This window comes from Homo sapiens, chromosome 17, assembly GCF_000001405.40.
Source record: "Homo sapiens chromosome 17, GRCh38.p14 Primary Assembly".
In the NCBI taxonomy this organism is placed as follows: domain Eukaryota; kingdom Metazoa; phylum Chordata; class Mammalia; order Primates; family Hominidae; genus Homo; species Homo sapiens.
The window spans coordinates 37,077,085-37,098,328 of NC_000017.11; the positions used below are offsets into that span (position 1 = coordinate 37,077,085).

The 21,244-nt window shown below is 46.5% G+C and overlaps 1 protein-coding gene across 25 annotated transcripts in view, besides 2 other annotated features; it reads right to left on the minus strand.

Moving 5' to 3' along the window:
- The window catches only part of ACACA (acetyl-CoA carboxylase alpha), a 321,845-nt gene continuing 308,508 nt past the window's right edge, over nt 7,908–21,244 (minus strand). For all 25 annotated transcript variants that reach the window (XM_011524701.2, XM_006721853.2, NM_198834.3 and 22 more), the window contains 4 exons: nt 20,746–20,900; nt 19,912–20,082; nt 11,854–11,990; nt 7,908–10,355 (listed from right to left, as the gene is read on the minus strand). In XM_011524701.2, the coding sequence (XP_011523003.1) occupies nt 10,232–10,355; nt 11,854–11,990; nt 19,912–20,082; nt 20,746–20,900 (587 nt within the window). In that variant the 3' untranslated portion in view covers nt 7,908–10,231. The remainder of the gene's footprint in view (nt 10,356–11,853; nt 11,991–19,911; nt 20,083–20,745; nt 20,901–21,244) is intronic.
- Nucleotides 12,643–13,144: an enhancer, noted in NCBI's record as "NANOG hESC enhancer chr17:35446662-35447163 (GRCh37/hg19 assembly coordinates)". NCBI's record gives its function as "activates a minimal SCP1, AML or CMV promoter by ChIP-STARR-seq in naive H9 embryonic stem cells {active_cell/tissue: H9 hESC(naive)}" and the evidence as "EXISTENCE:reporter gene assay evidence [ECO:0000049][PMID:30033119]".
- Nucleotides 19,480–20,679: an enhancer, noted in NCBI's record as "BRD4-independent group 4 enhancer chr17:35453499-35454698 (GRCh37/hg19 assembly coordinates)". NCBI's record gives its function as "activates an origin of replication core promoter dependent on BRD2, P300/CBP, MED14 and CDK7 cofactors, and independent of BRD4, by STARR-seq in HCT116 cells {active_cell/tissue: HCT116}" and the evidence as "EXISTENCE:reporter gene assay evidence [ECO:0000049][PMID:35650434]".

Genomic DNA, 21,244 nt, shown 5'->3' on the forward strand with positions numbered 1-21,244 from the left:
AGTAGAGATGGGGTTTCACCATGTTGGCCAGGCTGGTCTCAATCTCTTGACCACAAGTGATCCACCCACCTTGGCCTCCCAAAGTGCTGGGATTACAGGCATGAGCCACTGCACCCAGCAAAATTCGACTACTTTAAATACCTCATATAAGTGGAATCCTACAGTATTTGTCTTTTTGCAACTGGCTTATTCCACTTAACAGAATGTCCTCAAGGTTTATTCCTGTTCTAGCATGTGATTGGATTGCTTTCCTTTTTAAGGCCGTTGTAATATTCCATTGTAAGTATAGACCACATTTTGTTTATCAATTTATTCTTTGATGGACATTTGGGTGGCTTTCACCTCTTGGCTATTGTGAATAATGCTGCTGTGAACATGGGTGTGCAAATATATATTCAAGGCCCTGCTTTCAATTCTTTTGGATATCTGCCCAGAAGTGAGATTGCTTGATCATACGTAGTGCTTTTTTTTTTTTTTTTTTTTTTTTTTTTGAGACAGGGTCTCACTCTGTTGCCCAGGCTAGAGCGTAGTGGCTTGATCATAGCTCACTGCAACTTCAAACTCCTGGGCTTAAGCAGTCCTCCCACCTCAGCCTCCTATTTTTCATTTTCGTTTCGTTTTTGTTTTTTTTTGAGGCAGTCTCGCTGTGTTGCCCAGACTCAAGCAGTCCTCTCACCTCAGCTGCCCAAGTAGCTGGGACTACAGCCACGTGCCATCACCCAGCTAATTTTTTATTTTTTAATTTTTTATACAGATGAGGGTCTCACTGTGTTGCCCAAGCTGGTCTCGAACTCCTGGGCACCTTAGCCTCTCAAAGTGTTGGGATTACAGGTGTGAGCCACCACACCCGGCCCTACTTTTAATTTTTTGAGGAACCATTTTTGCATAGCAGCTACACCATTTTCTATTCCTGCCAACAGTGCACAAGGGTTCTAATTTTTCCACATCGTCTGCAACATGTTATTTTCTGTTTGTTTTTTATAGCAGACGTCCTAATGGGTATGAAGTGTTGTGTCGTTGCGGTTTTAATATACATTTCCCCAACAATTAATGATGCTGAGCATGTTTTTATATGCTTCTTGACCATTCATAAATCATCTTTGAAAAAATGGGTTTAAGCCCTTTGCCTTTTGTTGTTGAGACAGGGTCTTGCTCTGTTGCCCAGGCTAGAGTGCGGTGGTGCGATCTCAGCTCACTGCAACCTCAACCTCCTGAGCCAGTGCTCCTCCTGCCTCAGCCTCTCAAGTAGCTGGAACTAGAGGCATGTGCCACCATGCCTGGCCAATTTTAAAAAAATTTTTTGTAGAGATAGTGTCTCACTGTATTGCCCAGCCTGGTCTCAAACTCCTGGACTCATGTGATCCTCCCACCTCAGCCTCCCAAAGTGCTGGGATTAGAGGTGTGAGCCACTGCTGCCAGCCTTACTATGCATTTTAAAGTTATTTTCAGCTGGGTGCGGTGGCTCATGCCTCTAATCCCAGCACTTTGGGAGGCCGAGGCAGGTGCATCACCTGAGGTCAGGAGTTTGAGAGCAGCCTGGCCAACATGGTGAGACCCTGTCTCTACCAAAAATACAAAAATTAGCCGGGCATGGTGGTGGGCGCCTATAATCCCAGCTACTCAGGAGGCTGAGGCAGGAGAACTGCTTGAACCCGGGACGCGGAGGTTGCAATGAGCCGAGATTGCATCATTGCACTCCAGTCTGGATGACAGAGCAAGACTCCATCTCTAAATAAATAAAGTTACTTTCTTAGTGGTTGTTCTAGAGGTTATATAACACTATACTTGAGATTAATATTACCTTAATACTGGCAACACATAGACTTGGTTTTCATGTTGTTTCATTTTTACCCCCTTCTTTGTGTGACTGTCATACATATTACGGTTCTATATGCTATAAACCCCAAAATACAGTGGTATACTTATTGTTTAATGCAACTTTATGTCTTTTAATGAAGTTAAAGAGAACACAGTTTTTTATATTTACCTAGGTACTGTTTACCTTTTCATTTCTTTGAGTAGATTTGAATTACTATCTGGAATTATTTCTTTTCAGCCTCAACTATTGCTTTTAGTATTTCTTATAAAGCTGGTCTGCTAACAATGAATTCTCTTTTTTTGTGGAGTGTCTTTATTTCACCTGTACTTGTTTTAAGGACAGTGTTGCTGGATATAGGATTCTTGTTTGACAGCATTTTTTTTCTTCTTGTGGCACTCTGACAATACTGCCCCACTGCCTCCTGGGGTCCATTGTTTCTGATTAGAAGGCAGCTGTGATTTATTTTGTTATTCTTCTGTAAGTGATAACTTGTTCTTCTCTAGCTTCCTTTAAGATTTTTCTTTGTCTTTCAACAGTTTGGCCATGAGGTATCTAGGTGTAAGTATCTTTGTTTATCCTACTTGGGGTTTATTGAGCTTCTTGGATCTGCAGATTCATGTTTTCCATCAAATTTGGGAATTTTTCGGCCACTATTTCTTCAGATAGTTTTTCCATTTCTCTCTCTTCTGGCACCCCCAGTACACATATGTTGGTAAACGCACTGTTGCTGCACAGGAGTCTGAGGGTCTATTCATTTTTCACTCTTTTTTCCTCTCTGTTCTTCACATTGGATAATTCTATTACTCTACGATTTCACATGCACTGATTCTTCTGTCTTCCCAAATCTGTGTAGTCCCTCTGGTCAACTTTTCAGAATTTCCTTTTCAAAAACTGGGATAAATATATGATTTACCATTTTAACAGTTTCTAAGTGTATAGTTCAGTGACATTAAGGACATTCACATTGTTGTGCAACCATCACCACCATCCACCTCCAGAACATTTCATCATCCCATACTGAAACTCTGTACTCATTCAACAACAATAACTCCCAGCTGCTACAGTGGCTCATGCCTATAATTCCAGTGCTTTGGGAGGCTGAAGAAGGAAGATCGCTTGAGCCCAGGAGTTCAAGATCAGCTTGGGCAACACAGTGAGGCCCTGTCTCTACAAAAAAAAAAAAAAAAAAAAAATTTTTTTTTAAATTAGCTGGGTATAGTGGCTTGCACCTGTAGTCCCAGCTATTCAGGAGGCTGAGGTGGGAGGACTGCTTGAGCCCAGGAGTTTGAGGCTGTAGTGAGCTATGATCATACCACTGTACTCCAGCCTGGGCAATAGAGCGAGACCCTGTCTCTAAAAACGAAAACAGTAATCCCCAAATTCCTCTCCCCACAACCCCTGGTAATCACTGTTTTATTTTCTGTCTCTGTGAATTTGATAATTTCAGATACCACATATAAGTGGAATCAAACAATATCTGTTTTTGTGTCTGGCTTATTTCACTTAGCATAATGTCTTCACAGTTCATCCATGTTGCAGCATGTTTCAGAATTTTATTCAGAATGTGCTTTTTTATGTTTTGTTTTGAGACAGGGTCTTGCTCTGTCACCCAGGTTGGAGTGCAGTGGCGTGATCATGGTTCACTGCAGCCTCTACCTGCCTGGGCTCAGGTCATCCTTCCACCTCAGCCTCCCAAGTTGCTGGGACGACAAGCGTGTGCCACCACACCTGGCTAGTTTTTTTTTTTTTTTGCATTTTTTGTAGAGATGGAGTTTTGTCATGTTGTCCAGGCTGGTCTTAAACTCTTGGACTCAAGCGAACCGCCCACCCTGGCCTCCCAAATTGCTGGGGATCATAGGTGTGAGCCACCATGCCTGGCCAATTCTTTTTTTTTTTTTTTTTTTTTAAATAAGGGCCCAAGGTTGTCCTACCTGACCCTTTAATTCTGTAAATGTGTGTGTGTGTATGTGTGTTTAAGTTTCTGCCCAGTTGTTTTTATTTGTTTGTTTTTTGAGACAGAATCTCATTCTGTCACCCAGGCTGGAGTGCAGTGGCACGATCTTGGCTCACTGCAACCTCTACCTCCCGGGTTCAAGCGATTCTCCTGCCTTAGCCTCCCAAGCAGCTGGGATTACAGGCGCACACCACCACACCCAGCTAATTTATTTTTAGTAGAGACGGTTTCACCATGTTGGCCAGGCTGGTCTCAAACTCCTGACCTCAAGTGATCCACCCGCCTCAGCCTCCCCAAGTGCAGGAATTGAGCCACCACACCGAGCCTCTGCTCAGTTTTTCTTTTTAAAACTTCTTATTTTTTAAGCCTAGCTTCATAGGGGCCACCCTTGTGCCTAATGGTCAGCCAATGCTTTAGGCAGATGTATCTTGAGCCAGCAAGGCATCTATCTTCTGCTGATAAGTTGGTGTGTGTGTGTGTGTGTATGCACGCGCGCGTGGGGGCTACATATTAAAACATTTCAGCAGTTTTGAAATCTGCCCTGGCTTTTACTTTCTACTGGGCCCTCTGGCATTTCCTCTTCATGTGCCCACAGGTTCTATCAGCTAGGGCTGTGTGACTAGCTTGGGCCTTCTCTGATCTCTCCTGTGTGGATGTGCGGGGAGCTTATCAAGCCCCTGGTGGCTGTATCATTTCCTGCTTCTGTTAAAGCTCTAGCTAGGCTGCTGGTCTATTGCTTGAGCCAAGCTGAGCCACTGGTCTTCCCTGGATGTTTGCTGCTGAGTTACTGCTGTTACTGACAATGCCAGTGGGCATGGAGTATTTTTATCCAGACTTCAGCATTACCCATGATCCCAGATGAAAATCTGCCTAGAGCTGGAAGGGATCTTAGGGATCTTCTCGTTCCACACTCTACTTTCACATCCCAGGGAAGGCAGGACTCCAGAACACCCTTGAGCTGCTCAAGGCCTGCCCTAAGTGAGGGCAGCCAGGCTTAGAGATCGGCCTTCAGGCTCAGCTGCACAGCCCCTCAGTGGCACTTCCGCTTAGTGTCCATGTCACCCAACACGTAGAGACAATCCCTAGACCCTGCCCTCGCCAGGGGACGGTTCTCCACCAATACCCTATGAGGAAGGTGCCCCTGAGTGATGACAGGCGCCCAGTCTTGGGAGCAAAAGAGACAGGGCATGGAGAAACCTGACCTGCATTGAGGGTTTGCGGCTCATGCCCTGCACTTGATTCACATCAACTAATTTAATGTCATTTTTCAAAATGCCCCATTGAGGTCCACATTTCACAGATGAGGAGGCAGGAACTTGCTCAAGGACAAGAGTGAGGGGCTGGATACTGGAAATCAGCTCAGGCTTATTCTAAAGTCCCTGTTCTTGTAAGTGACTATGAAAGGAGCTATTTGCATGGACAGGAATGCTCTGTGAGCTTTTTCCTGCTGCAGAGCCTGGACTTGTACAGTGGGTTCTGCCTCTTCCCACCCCCAGCCCTCCCTGATTACTCTAGAAGGCCAGTCATGACACAGAATGTTGGCAATCAGACTCAGCGCCATCTGAGCTATTCTGTCCTGTCTCCGTGCGGTTCCTAGTGGGCTGAGCCCACTGTGTGGCTCCAAGTCTCAGGCTCCGTTATCATTCTGCCCTCCACCAACCACAGGAAACCCCATGCTTTGGAAGATGTTGCTTATTACCAAGATACTGCATTTCTAAAGATGTCCTACCCCCATCACTTATTATCAACACCCATTAGAGCCACTGGCCAGCAGGAGGTGACCAGGACTGCACTTCCTGGGTAAAACTCCAGTCAACACAAAGACAACGGCATGGAAAGACTGCTGCCTGAGGCACAGCAGGATTCCTAGAGCACTGGAAATAGCCGATTGTTCCCCACTCCTGTGGGTGGCCCGGGCATACTATCCTGGGTGCCCCTCCAGCTTGGGGACTGCACACGATTAAGCTGAGCTTGGACCCAGTTTTCTTGGCACTCAAGACTGTGCTCTTTTCATTCAATTGGCTGCTTTCGAAAGCTTTATACACAGCTTTCACGTGCCCATAAACCACCAAAGGACAAACCCTTGCTCCTTGGCCTGGCATTTAAGGATCTTTATATCTGATGCCGGCTTGTTTTTGGGGAGTTCATTGTCTATTACTCCCCCAAGTGACTGCTCTACTCCCCTTCAACCTTCCCAGTGCCCCCCAAATAACTTTGTAAATCCCAGTGCCCCGGCCTGGAATGCCCTGGCTTCCACCCTGCCGCAGCTGGTAGCCTCTCTCTGCCAATAAGCTTCATTTGTCCATACCACTCCCTCTGGCCCATGGTGCTTTCTGCCTCACCATGTGGAACAGGGCAGGCCCAGGTGTTACCCTTCTTGTGCCCAGGGCCTGAGGAGCCAGTGGTTTGAAGGAAGGTTTGCCTTTCAGCTCAGTGCCTCCCTACAGGCCTTTCCCTGCTGCCCTGCACCGAGCCCTGTTTACTAGGGGTGAACAGCCCTCCCTATGGTCCTTAGGCATTTGCGTTCATCGCTGTGTTATTGTTCAGCCGGGGAAAGAGAGGTGGGCCTAGATCTGGATCCTAGAACCCTCACTGTGCAGTCTTTTCCTTACTACCCCAAAGTAAGACCAATGGGGATTTATTATTTCCTTTTGTTGAAAAGAGGAGTGAAGGAAGTGTGGCGCCCCAGCAGAAGAAACTGTATCGGGCAAGCTCCCAGAGGCAGCAGCGGAATCCTGCCTCAGAACCACCAACAGGTGCTGGCTGAGTGCTTACACCTGTGGCCTGTCTTCAGCTGCCTGCTTAGGGAGGAGGGAAGAAGGAAGAAGAGGCCCAGGCCGCCACGCAGACCGGGCTTCCTTGCCTGTGAAGAGCAGCAGTGGGAGGCAAACAGTAGCAATCTTCCCCCTGGATCCTTTATCCTGTATCTCCCTTCTGACTCCCCTTTCTGGAACATCTGGCTCAGGGTGAATCAAATTGATATTTTCTTAACACTCTATTTCATTTTAGAAAAAGCAACCCTTTGCTTTGCAATATATCCCAAAGAGAGAGACAGATACAACATTGAGTTTAATAATCAGCAAAGGGCAGGGATTTGCCTCCTGTGACCTGTATCTTTGCAGACATTCAGGAATTGGTGCTTATTCCTGCCTTAATTATAGGGATTCATAGAAAGCTTTTTTTTTTTTTTTTTTTTGAGACGGAGTCTTGCTCTGTCACCAGGCTAGAGTGCAGTGGTGCAATCTCAGCTCACTGCAACCTCCGCCTCCCAGGTTCAAGCAATTCTCCTGCCTCAGCCTCCTGAGTAGCTGGGACTACAGGTGTGTGCCACTGCTCCCACCTAATTTTTTATATATTTTTAGGGGGTTTCACCGTGTTAGCCAGGATGGTCTCAATCTCCTGATCTCATGATACACCCACCTCAGCCTCCCAAAGTGCTAGGATTATAGGGGTGAGTTACCATGCCCAGCCCATAGAAAGTTTTTTTAGAGAGAGAAACTGAGGCAGAGGGTTGACGGCATGGAATCATGAGCTTCCTGCCCCGAGTGCCTTTTTGTGCCCAGAGTTAAAAATCCATGAATAGCTAAAGAAAGAAAATCTAAAACCTTCCTCTCAAATCTCTAACAAGGGCCATGCGGCCCCAGTGTTTACACTGAGTTATCAGAGCACTCTCAACTTCCTGTATGCTGAGAAGGGACTTCTGAGGAGGACAGTGGGCTCTGGGCTTCCAAGGCCTGGAGCTGTTATCCTCACTAAACAGCTGTGGTCTTTCTTGTCCCTGCTCTAAAGACATTCTCTTTTGGAGGGGACATTCCTGCCAGGACTCCCATCCAGCTCTCAGCAGGAAGAAGTTTCCCATCCTGAAAAACTCAACAGAAACTAAAAAACTGACCCTCTGCTACGGGGTTCCCGAGCATTTGTAGCCTTTCAGAGTTTGACCTTGATTCAGCGGATAAGACAGGGCTGGCCAAGGCCAGCTTTTTACTGCCTACCCATCATCTTTATGCAAGTTCAGGAGACAAAGGGCTTTAGGTGTTACAGGGCCATGGAGGGGCTTGCCCCACACTGAGCCCCTGCTGAAAGCAGAACAAGAAATGAGGTGGCTGGGCATGGATTGAAATGACAAACTGTAACTCTTCTACAAATGTAGAGGTTTATTTCAACAAAATGTGTAAAGAGTGCATCTGAAGCTCCTGCTCATCACAGTATGTGTCCATCAAATTCTGAGACAAGTGAAGGCTGTTTTGTGAACGAAGAGAACAGATAATATGGCGGTCTCCGTCCAAGCAGGTCTTGGTCAATATCCATCATTTATACTCCTCCTGCCTTAGTAGCCTTGCATGTTTGAGGGGCTGTGGGAATGTCAGATTGCTCATGTTCTGTGCCTCCAACTTGAAAAAATCCTTGTCCAGGGTAAGACCTACAGTAAGGAGCTCTGGGGATGGGGGAGGAGGCATTACAGGGTTCTAGAGAGGAAACATACTCGTTTGTGTCATAATTTGGTGGGGAGAGGGGAGGTAAATGAGTGTAACCCACCCTGCCTCTGAAGACATGCCTGGACAGGCCTCCTGGGGGGTGCAGGACTTCATACCACTTGTAGATATGTGGGATTTGATTTATTGCAAAAAAGCATAGAAGAATAATCTGGTCAAAAATGAATCCAATTCTTACTAGGTAAGCAAATAGCCAGCAATGGTCAATGCATTTTCCTGGACTGAGAATTGTCCCCCACCACTTTATGCCCTTTTCTGAAGGTGCTGAACACCTGTACCTTCCACCAGGGCAGCCGGGCTGAGGCTCTGACTCCTGGGGGCTGTCCGCTCCATACCCAGCCATACAGTGCCCACCTGCAACCCAGAACCATTGAAAAGTCCAGCCAATCTATCCGCACAGATTCCTCCTGAAGAAGGGGAGGTGGAGCTCGTTCTTGTGTGCAAACTACAGGGTTAAGGCTCAGAACTGTGGCTTGTCCAAGAACGTTCATACCACTGCTTCTCAAATGTCTTAGTGATTTCCTCCTTGGTCATCAGTGACAAATGCAGTTAGCTGCACTAAAGGAACCGGATGCTACACCAGCCCTGATCACCTGCCACTCTTGCTTTAGGAACAGAGGAATCAGTAAGTTCTTTTCTTGAATAAACTAGTTGTTGAAAGTAAACTCTCTCCACCACCTGAGGAAGCCCCTGATGCCAGTCAGGAGGGGCCAGTAAGCCTGGAGGACAGCAGCACCATGACTGAGTTGTAAATAATCTTAAGGTCATGTGGATTCTGTGTTTCCTGGAAGCCTCCCTCATCAGGAAGGCCAGCTCCTGGTGCTGAGGGTGTAGCTGTCACCAGGGTCCTTTCAGAGCTGTGGGGAGACCTGCTGCCTGTCTACACTCTGGGGAAGAGAGTAGAACCGTTAGCTGCTAGGACAGTAATCCTGGAACTAGGGAAGAGTGAGTGTGGAGGCACCATTAACCTCTCAAAACCATCCAAGCTCCAGGCTTCATAGGAACAACTTTCCAAGTCCTCAAAACAAACAGACTATCTATCTATCTCACTGGCTCTCCACATGGCATAAATAACTAGTTTCCACCAGTGCAGAAAGGGCAGTTCTCTTCTGGCTCCTCCTCTGCCAACTCAGGCTTCACCACCTGTGGAACTGCTGGGGCCCCTCAAGCACTGGCCTTGCAGCTCCCAGCCACATGCGACAGCTAGTCCAGCAGTGACGTGCAGGCGAGAGGCAGGCCAACAACTACCTTTCCCTTTGTCCTCAGAGACTGAACCCAAGGTTGAGGTCCCCTAAATCAAGAATAACTGGTTCTATTTTCTTTCTCTGCTTCTTGGCTCACAGTTTTGCCCTCATCTTTGAGTTCCTATGGAGCTTGTAGTAGATTTTATGCTCTAATTTTTCTTCATAAAAGGTACCGTAGTGTGGTTAAACTGGGAATCATTCCTCTCCAGTGCCTACTGTGTGCTGGGCTAAGAGTCGGGGTAATAAACAATGGACTTGAGGCTTCCTCCTCTCCTTAGCCCTCCTCTGCTGCCTGTGGCTGCGGCTCATGGGGCCAGGAGTGAGGGGGGCTGCTCACTGCTGGGCAACTCCTCACGCTTCCCCATGCTGGGAGGCCAAGGGGCTGTCAGGACAGGAGGGGCAGCCCTACTTTGGTTAGTAAGACCTCATGGTACATGTTTGTACCTTTCATTGCCTTCTCAGTCCTGTGCAGGGAGTGGAGGACTAGGCCTGGCCAGGGTAATAAATACTGAATGGGGTAGGTGTGACTGGTGGGCTGGAGGGGGATTCTGTGATCTTACATCCCAGGATGTCATGCATAACCTGAAACGAGAGGAAGTAAAATGCCATTTGACTCCAGTGCTGGGTCTCCTGTGCCTTCTCATTACAGTGGTTACAGTTGTAAAAGGCAGCTCTAGCCCTTTTCTCCAGAGACAGGGCAGGGACAGGCAGGAAGCTCTTCCTACGTGGAAGGGGAATCCATTGTGGAGAGGATCCGTATGACTTCTGCTCGCTGAGTGGGTGATATGTGCTGCGTCATATGGATGATGGAATCCATGGCAACCTCTGGATTGGCCTGGACCAAGCTGGAAAGGAAGATTGAGAATGGTGAAGAAAAGAGAAGCAGAAGTGTCTAGATGAGGACAGCTAAAGAACTGCCCAATAAACATGTGTGCACCGTCCACTGCAGACATTTTAGTCACGCCTCACCTTATTTGTTTCCCTATATTACAAATATCCAGCCAAGGTAGTGCAAGACAAACCCAAAACATTTTGCTATGTTGAAAAAGGAATTAAACCCAAAACAAAACCCAAAAAAAACCCAAAACATGCCAATGGGGGCATGTCACAAAGACAGCAATTGGGGCATCAAAAGCAGCCCAGCAATGAATTATAAATCAGTAAAAAATAGAACTTCATGAGTCTGTACCAATAATGTATATATAAAAGAATCGGCAGGAGTGAGGACTGAGTGGTGACTGGTAATTGTGGAGGGTGTGCTGGAGTTGGAAAGTTATCATTTTGCAAGCTCATCGTAAAGACTGCACCAGAGGGAAATTTTGATGAAAGCAAGATACTTGCATGGCCTTAAAATGTCTTCCTGCAGACTACTTATTAGGTGCAAGGGGGGAAAATCAGTAATTATACGGTAGAGAAATGGAGCAACATCTTGACCAGCGGATGAAATTAACACGAGGAGGAGCAGATAAACAGCATGTGCCCCCAGATGTGGTGCCCTGTGAAGGTTCTGGCCAGAGTGCCTCACCTGCATCTCATCATGGGGAGACATCAGACAAACTCAAAATGAGCAATGTTCTACAGATGGTAGATATCAGATAAAAGTTTTTAATCAATGTTAAATTTACAAAAGTGGATCATTTTATGATGGTTATGTAAAAGTATCCCTATTCTCAGCAAATGCACACTGAAATATTTGGGGGTAAAGGCCATGATATATGTAACACCCTTAAGTAGTTCAGAAAGAGGAAAAATGTATACACATATGGGAGGGCAGGCACACTCATAAGTGATATAGCAACGGGGAGAAAATGTAACAGGTAAATCTGAGTACAGATATTATATATAGGGGTGTTCTTTGTACTGTTTTTAATTTTATAACTTTTCTGTAAGTGAAATGTTTCCAAATAAACTTTTACAAAAATGCCCCTGCAGTCTCTACCACCGATCCTATGGAGCAGACTGAAGCCTCTAGAAGAATACAGCTAACTCTTGGCTTCAGGAGGTGAGGAGGTGGTTTCCCAGGAAACCACCACACACACAATCAGCTTTCCTCCCAGAGTTGTTCATCCGGTTTGAGTATCAGCATTCAGAGCTAAGAGGTGGGCACAGTGAATTAAGCCTTCATCTAGCTGAGATTACTAAGTGCCCCTGGGGAGCAGTAGCTGAAAAAGAATTGGGCTTCAGGCCATATCTGTACCTGTGGGTCAACTACAGCTGTCTCAAACAGCAAGAGACTGCAGAGATCATAAGATTTCTGCGATCATCTCATGATTTGTTTGGAAACTTTTTATTCCAAAGAAATTAGCCCTCCTTCTCTAGTGGAGTTCCCCACGTTGGTCTCACCTGCGGATTTGCTTGAGGACGTAGTCTCTGCTGATGCATTTGATGTTTTCCTCTATTACCGAGTGAACACCATCCTCCTCTGTCAGCTGTTTCTCTAGCCACTCCGCCAGATCCTTATTATTGTCCCAAACATAAGCCTGCAAACAGATGACTCTTGGTCAAACACCAGGGGTCAGGCCAGGCCGGGACACCCTGACTATTCAGGATCTGGAGTGCTTGCTTACTCCAAAAGTGTGCTCCGTGTCCACGATTCTCCTTCACTGTCAGCATCGTGCAGGAGGAGGAAGTAGGCCTCGAGGCAGGAGCTGTGCCCCTTCTCCTTCTCTTCCTTTATGGACACAGGTGTACACCTGAAGTCTCCATGGGGCTCTCCCGAGCACTCTGGTGCTCATACCCTGACTCTGTCCTGTCAGACTCTAGGGACCCACCTATTTGACAAAGGCTAAGAGAATTCAATAACCTGACAGGTTTGAGAGAACCAGTTAAAAGCCCAAATTACTTAGTAAAATTGTGATTGAGAAGGCAAGGCTGTTTATTTGGTGTTTTGCTCTCAGAGGAGCTGAGACACAATGCCTAAAGTATAAGTCTCTAGCCTCAGTGAGGCCTGGCAGTCACTGGATGGATGAAGTCTCCTGAAATAGAGCCCACTGTCTTTTGATGAGGCACGGACGGGGAACTGATGGGAGGGAAGTCTTGTTGCCAGGGTACAGCCACCAGGTCAGAAACCTAAGCCCCATTTTATTACCTATGAGAGTATTCGAAAGGATCAAGACGTCCATAACCCTGAAAGTCTCAACAAACCACCTCTCACCTCCTTTTCAAGATCATTTAGCTGAGTATTTCCTAGGTGGTTGACTACATAATAATTCAGGAGTGTGTTAGAAGCCTAATAGCCTTCTCCTTGCTCTCTTCTCCTCTCATTTTCTTTACAAATCATTTAGGAATCGTTTTGTTAATGGTTTCCGGAAAACCAAGTACCACAATTAGGGCTCATTCATATTTATGTCATTTTGTTTGGGTAATTAAACACAAAGCTTGTCATTTAAAGGTGCGCTATCCTTCTCTGTTATCACTAACGAAGTCAAAGTCAGAATGACAATGAGTTTGGTGCTATAATTTAATAGGTGGGTGTGTTTGTTAGGGACTCTGAGGCTTTGAGGTTTGAGACGTGGCTACAGGAAGCCTGTATGCAAGCAAGGTCACCAAAGCCACAGCTGTGACTACTGGGCTGCAGAGGAAATGTCTTCATCACAAGAGGCCTCAAGCAGTACAAAACTGAGCACTAGGCTATTTTCTAACTATCTCGTGCCTTCAAATATAATGGTTTCTTTTCAGACTGTCACTTCCTGTCTCTAACTTAGCTGCCGACTTAGTTGTGACTGGTTATTTAATGTATGTCATTTCATCGACGTCTCTGTTTCTAAAAATTAACTCCTTTACATTGGAAAGATGAAGGCTTCCGGGGACTAAGGATCAGCAGTATGTCTCTTTTAGTTCTTTGTCCATTTCTTTTTCTGACTCAAATGTGCCCAGTTCTGTATCTAATCACTGATAAGCAGATCAGCAATTCTTCAGCTGGGGTGTGTGGCCCCGTCAGTGCAAACCTGAGTGACCCTCTCCTCTCTGTGCCTGGGTTAGGACTCCCAGCATCTCTCAAGGCCAAACTGCCTTGAGAAAGTGTTTTGCGCCTAAGGAAAGGAAGTGTCACATCAGCCCCTATCCACGAGGGAGAAGGTAGCACTGCTTTTCCCATAACATGGTTTTAACTCACTCTTGTGACCCAGCTTGCTGCACGCCCCACATATGGATGGGTCCCCCTGGACTCCTAAACGTCGCCACCTAAATTTCAACATTTCCATTTCCATCATTGGCAATTTACTCTTCTGCTCCGTGGTTTCAGGACTTCTACACATACCCCTACTTATGAAGATTGGGGTGGAGGGGAGGAAAAATAAAACAATAAATGCTTCTTGGATTTCAGAATGGAAAAAAAAAAAACCCCAAGATTTTTAGATTTACCCAAGAATCCCAAAGCCTTTAGTTTAGGAGAATATTTAATACTCTTATTAATCATTTTTAATCCGTTTGCTTTTAATTAAGAAACAGCATGATGCTTTCCTATCAACATATGCCAGGGAGCAGATTAATTGTGGCTTAAGATAACTCTCCTTGATTGGTGTAATGTATTAGCTAACGAGATGCCTGCTTCCAACAATGCTCAGACACTACACTGGAAAGCCAGCTACCCTCTAGAGAAAACTCTTCTGCCTTCCCCTCCTGCAGCCACAGAGTATGCTAGGTGTTTAAACATTTTGAAAAGTTCCCAGACAGGATTAGGGCAACGCATTCCAAGTTTTACAGTTGCTTGAAAATATGGGTCCTATAAAAAGATCTGCTGTTTACGCAAAGTACAACTGGATGACAATGACCGCCAAACCCCAGTGGATTACAGCCTAGAGTACATGAAGGAAAGGGGTCTCAAGTTCTAATCAACTGCATGTTTAGCAAAAATAAACAAACTTATGTAAGCATAGTGCCACTGGTTTTTCTCAACAGACCTGGGAGAGTTACCATACTGTTGTGGGATAATTTGCTCCACCTGGGAAAAGCAAGCTCCCTTCCACTGGGTTATGGAGTTTACAGGTTTTTTTTTCTTCCCCCAGACAGGGTCTCCTCCTGTTGCCCAGGCTGGAGTACAGTGGCATGATCACAGCTCATTGCAGCCCGAAACTCCTGGGCTCACGTGATTCTCCTGCATCGGCATCCTGAATAGCTAGGATTACAGGCATGCCCCACCATGCCTGGCAAAACTTTTTTTGGTAGAAACAGGGTCTCGTTATGTTGCCCAGGCTGGTCTTGAACTCCTGGGCTCAAGCAGTTCCCCTGCCTTGGCCTCCCAAAGTGCTGGGATTATAGGCGTGTGCCACTGTGCCCAGCCAGAGCCTACAGTTTCTTGTTTGCTCCCTTAGAACAGTTGTAAGACTCAATTCCAGTCATCCAGAAGGATAGGCCAACCTTATTCCCAGGAAGAAGCCATTATTATTTCCCTCCTTAAAATTATGAAAATGGGCCTGGCACAGTGGCTCACGCCTGTTATCCCAGCAATTTGGGAGGCTGAGGCAGGGAATTGCTGGAGTCCAGGAGTTTCAGACCAGCCTGGGCAACATGGCAAAACCCCACCTCTACAAAAAAATCAGCCAGGTGGGGTAGTGTATGCCTATAGTCCCAGCTACTTGGGAGGCTGAGGTGGGAGGGGAGGATCACATGAGCCCAGGAGGTTGAGGCTGAAAGTGAGTCATCATACCTACTCCAGCAGCCTGGGCAATAGAGTGAGACAAAAAAAAAAAAAAAGAAAATGTGGCCAGTCATTCCTAGTATTCCAGCGTGGACTTTAAACAGGTGTGATATGCTAGGCTGCTAACATCATGACAGGCCTGGGCCCGTATGCCACCTGTCAGCATATCCATCTGTATCAGAACATTTTATCAATAAAATATCAATAATTCTACATCACAACAGTGGCCTGTCCTAAAATGAATGTTCAACAGACACTTTCTGTCTGCATCAGTGGATAAGTATCTCAGGCACTAGTCAGCCTCACTAATTTTATGTAGTAATTAGTCTATCTCACAACATCTAAATGACCTGTTTGGAAAGTTTCATTTCTAACATACTGGATAGCTGTTAAGTCCTCCTTAGACAATGGTTCAGCAGGGCCAAGGAGTGACCAGGGCACAACCTGATGGATGTGAGCCCTGATTACTATACCCTACTAATAACTCACCTTGGGAGCTGCTGGGAGACACCTCCAGCTAGGGAGGCTCCTCCCATTTCTGACCTTCTAGACTTCTGGGAAACACACAGCCTGATGGGTGTAGGGATGGCATACAAATCCTAAGGTACACTCATATTTTGGAAAGACATTTTCAATACACCTACACTTACAAGGCTAAGCCCTATCCAACAGAAGCCCAAGAAAGGATGTGATTTTTTTTTCCAAGGGCTTTAGAGTACAATAGCCAAAGGACATGTGGGCTAGGGTGGCCATCAGACCCCTGTGAACCAAGCTCCTGTGAGCCAATCCCATCTCAGCTCCAGGCCCATAGCAGGGCCAAGCAACACTTTCCAGGTTCTACCTTACCTCCTCCCTGCCTGGCCCTGTGTGAGAAGTTTGGTGTATGAGACTTATTCATCAGTAGCCTGAGGCCAGGTTTTGAGGTCAGTGGAAATAAGTGACCCTGTCAATAGTGCTTTTTCCTATGGTCCTCACAGGGGCCTCTGTTGAGCATTCATTTCACTTGGAAATCCAGAATAAGAGCGAGTGGGTAGCTGTGTGAACAATAAGAATGCACCATGGCATCGGGTTGTGGGAACATGAGAGCATGCCAAACCAAAGAGCGTCTGAGCACCCACTGTGCTCAGGAGTCAGCCCCCTTTCCGCCGAGGTCAATCAGCTGTACATTTTTGACTTGGTCTATGTTGCTATTATTTTTTTACCTTCTAACATGGAGCAGGGGAAACTAGCATATTTTGAATGTCTACTGAGCCAGACATTGTGTTCCATACTTTTTCTTTTTGGAGACAGGGTCTCACTCTGTTGCCCAGGCTGGGGTGCAGTGGCGCCATCATAGCTCACTATAACCTCAAATTCCTTGGCCCAAGCGATGCTCCTGCCTCAGCCCCCTGAGGAGCTAGGACTACATGTGTGTGCCACGACACCGAGCAAATTTTAAAATTTTTTGTGAAGACAGGGTCTTGCTTTGTTATCCAGGCTGGTCTCAAACTCCTGGCCTCAAGCGATCCTCCCACTTCAGCTTCCCAAAGCACTGGGATTACAGGCGTGAGCCACCACATCTGACTTATGCTCCATACTTTACTCATGTTATTTAAAACTCACTGAACCCCATGACATAAACACCACCCCCATTTTACAGATGAGGGAATGGAGGCTTAAATAATATGCCCATGCCAGTAAATGACAAAGCTGGGATCCCGAAGTTTATGAGATTTCAAAACCCACATTCTCATTGTTCCATGCAGAGTCCTAATTTCAATTTCTACTATTGGGGTCTGGGAAAAAATAAATCAGCCTGTTTGAAAAACCAGGCTTCAAATTTTGGATCTAAGAATCAAGTGAGAAACCATGCCCAGGATACAAATGTGTGCCATGTTCTTATGACCCAATTTAAACTACTGTTCTTGTTATTTTCGTTAAGGAGCTGTAGTGATGCTTTGCTTCTGCCTGCAGTGAAACTATGAACCATAAATCCTACTATTTCCTACAGTAGGATCGTCCCAGTGGATTCAAACAGACTCCCATAACTCATGGTAACAGATATCTCTAAGGGAAACAAAAGAATTATAGTGCTCAGTTATATAATATCACCGTGTCTTCAATTTTCTGTCCCAGAATTTCTGTTTTCAGGATTAAGATTAAGAAAACAAATTCTCTGGGAACAAAAAGAACACAAGGCATAGCTAATAGATGCCTATCTCGAAATGTCTTTTCTTACCAGTAACCAACCACAATAAGGATTAGAGGGTCACTTCCTGGTGCAAAGCCAGGGTCTAGACTCAGCCAGTCTTTGCACTTGAGAAACACAACACACAGTATCTATCATTCTTTGAAGAACCACCCCCCCCCCCCCACACCAAACAGCAAGCAGATTGTACATCACTCCTTCTGAGGCACACAGATGGCTTTTGAACACTGCAACCCTTTCTTCTCTCAAGGGCACTGCAGATTTTATCACCCACCTCACACTAAACTAGGTCCTGCTGAGCCTGCCGAATATGGAAGGAGGTTTCAAAGCCACATGCCCTGACATCATAGGATTACCCGTCCTCACGTTCAGTCCTTGGCATTCCTCTCAGAGAACTCAGGAGAATGCTGCCTTTTGTAGATGGGCACAAGGGAAATGGCCTCAGTGCTCAGCATGGCTGCCCCCAGTGCCTAGGCAGCCTCCTACTGAGCTACGGGGTGGGGGTTCTCTTCTGTGCTTCAATTCCAGCCAGGAGCTTGTACACACGTGGTCAACTGTTCTCTCCATTGATAAGAGACGGCAGTGACCTATTTCTTCAGACGCTCTGTCCGCTTGGGAGCAGGATGCTAGGGAAAAGCTGAAGGGCCTATCTACTTGCTTCATGCCTGGGGGGAAACTTCCTTCTCATCCTTGTGCCTACTGAGGCTGGACACGTCCATTAGTGACTAATGTGGTAGGGAGGCAGTGCAGGCCTCTCCTGGCCACACACATACACACACACTCCATTTACCTAGCCGGCCACTCTTAACTGGAGGACAAACTCTTATTTTACACTTGCGTGACTTTCAATGCCAACTTCCACTAGAAGCTGCCAGTAGCCACTGACAAAATTGTCTCACTCAATTATGATGCCACAGACTGACCTTAACCTGAACCAAATGTCGGAGAAGGCTGTGCTCCCCAACTGCACATTTGAAATATTTATCCAAAGAAGCTTTTCAGTCATAAAAAAAATGGGCAGACTTAATACAAAGGTGAATCCTAGAAGCACCCCAATTCACTGGCTTTAAAACTGACAGCAAATCTGGGAGCTCCTCCTTGAGAACGATTAGCAGAGGCTTCAGGCAACACTTTCTAGGCAGAGGCCAGAGTGCCCCTCTTTGTGGGCCAGGACCCTTCAAGCCACCACCAGCCACCCAGCCCTCCATCAATACTCTAACCTGGTAGTCACCAAATGTTTGTGATCACATAGCAATGAGAAAGACAGACAAATATATTTTGAGCACATACTACCAATATTCTGATAAAATGCATTTTTGATGTAAATGATTAATCCATATATTAATTACTAATAAAGGTTAATTTCTTTTTGTTAGTAAAAATAAACAGAAATAAAAGTTCCAGCTTTTTCTTCCCATCCATGGAGTGACTTATGCAGCCCACTATTCCAGGAGCAAATGCTGGTGCCCTTGCTAGGTCATCCTGGCTTGAGACCCGCCCCATCCCCAACACTGAGGCTAGAGCACCAAGGACACCATCTCAGTGGGGTTACTGCTCTAGGTCACGAGCCCTCTCTGTGAGATCACCCCAAGAAAATGCCAGCTTCATAGGTCCCTTTCCCTGCATAAGGGTGGATACTTCCTTCCATCTCTGATTGGAAGTAGGCAGCTCTTTAGTTGTAGTCATGGCATCTCCTGCCGATCACAACCTGTTAGGCTTCTGCTCTTAGCCCCTCCAATTCCCTCCTCCACACAGCCCCCTTAGTGGTCTTTCTAAAATAGAAATCAGAGCATGTCACTCCACTGCTTAAAATACCTGAGTGGTTTCCGACAGGCCTCAGGACAAAGTCCAAACTCCTTGACAGCTTACATGGCCCTGTGTGATCATGCCCCTGCCCCTTCTTCCTACCAGGCACCCAGTCTCTGAGCTGCCCTGAAACAGTTGCAGGATGTTCCTTTGATGCATGTTACTCTTACTCTCATGGCTTAGGATGATGCTGTTCCTTCTGCAGGAACATTCCTCCTAAGCCCTGACTGCCCCCAAATCCAGCCTTTTCTTCTGGTTCATTTCTGCTTTGTTTTCCAGCCTCTCCTGAGACATCACTTACTGCACAAGGCTTCTTAGACTCTCCTCCATCCTTCCCAGAGAGGGTCAGGTATCTTCTCGCTGTGCTCTGTGCCCTTTGCTGTGTTTAACATGGGCCTCACTATTGTGCATAACCTCTTTATTTGTCTCCCCCTCTAGATGGTGAGCTCTATGTGGATAGGAACAACATTTGCCTCTTTCACTGCCATGCCCCCAGAAGCAAATGCAGTGTCTAGTACCCAGTAAGTGTTCAAAAAGGTCTGCTGAATGATTGCATAAGCTGCAACATATGCCCTACCACCTCTTCTAACAAGATGTCGTGACATGACATGTTAGGGGGAGTAGCTGGGGGAGGAAACAGCTTGGATCTCTATGTTTCCCTTCTACTCCTGCCCTTAGAGGCCTGTGGACTCTTTGCTGGCGAGACTTGCAGCCCTCAGGTGGTGTGAGGAACTCAGCAAAAAGGCTTCTCTTTGAGTGTCCCACCTACCTTCACTGTTCCTTCCACTTCCACAAACCAGCGCCTTAACATGGCTTGAATCTGGCCATCAGTCAGCTCAGGGTTGGCATTGTGGATTTTCTTCTTGACCAGGTCCTCCAGCAGAAGACGCCTCAGCCGCCAGTAGAAGAAGGTACGGGATGTTTTCCAATCCAGGATATCCTACATGCAGAGAAGAATAAACTTAGCCCAGTCCTAATTCCTGCTTAATGCTCAGTCTGGAGGGAAACCCACAGGCATAAAAACTGATTCTCCAGGCAAGCCCTTCACAGACCCAAGAGCTGGCTGTAAACTCCTAGCACTTCCAGATGTCCCCCAGGGCAGAAATGCAGCCCACATGCCCTGCTGTCTGCAGCACTGTGCACAGCCATGGGCCTGGCTAATGCTGATCCCACACATGGCTGAGATGTTCTGGGGAAGAGGCTGTGAGTTCCCAGATAACCAGACAAGGATAAATTCGTTTTGAGAAGATGGATCAAACAACTTGCAGATCAATTATTAATTAGCTGCTGCGGGAGCCTTGACCCTATAGTAACCCACATCCTGAGGACCCGTCACCAATGAAGTCACATGTGACTCAGTTTCCCACCAGTAAAATGCAGCTTGCCTCCTGAGGAATTAATGGAAACCTAAATTATACATTGTTTTAAGATGATAACAGTTACAGAAACAGTGAAAATCTAAAAAATATTGAAAATGTTTTGATCTGCAGAAGTTGTTTTAATTTGGCCCTCATAGCTCCCTGCTTATGAGCCTGTGTGCAACACACACACACACTTGCCCACATGTGGGCCTCTGACAAGAAGTGGCAACCATTGTACTTACGCTAATAACACCCTTCTCCTGCATCCGGCCTGGTGTGTCGTGCAAGTCAGCAAACTGCACGGCTACCTGATGGTAAATGGGAATTAGGAATTCCTCCCGCTCCTTCAACTTGTTCTCCAACTCCTTCCGCTCAGCTGTGCTTAGCTCTGGGGTCCCTGCAATTAGATAAACATGCCCGTCACACTCTGTAATGACCAGGAATCTCTCTGCACAAAAGCAGCCACAATCACGGGAAGCTCAACATCAGCCTGCCCCCTCTTCCCTCTGTGGCCTGGCTCTCCGTTGTCTTCTCTGCTCTTTGCTGATTAACAGGGCCCTACAAGATGCCACACCAGTCTTTACCTTGCCACAAGAAGCCCACATGCCCTCTTTTCCCTGTGGCAGTCACAAGTGTGAAGGCAGATGGCAGCCCCTCTCCCATGCCTCTCCCTGAGAAGGTGCAAGTAGCGACCTAGAGGCCTGCTGCATATTGCTGACACCACCCAGGCTCCTCCTTCCC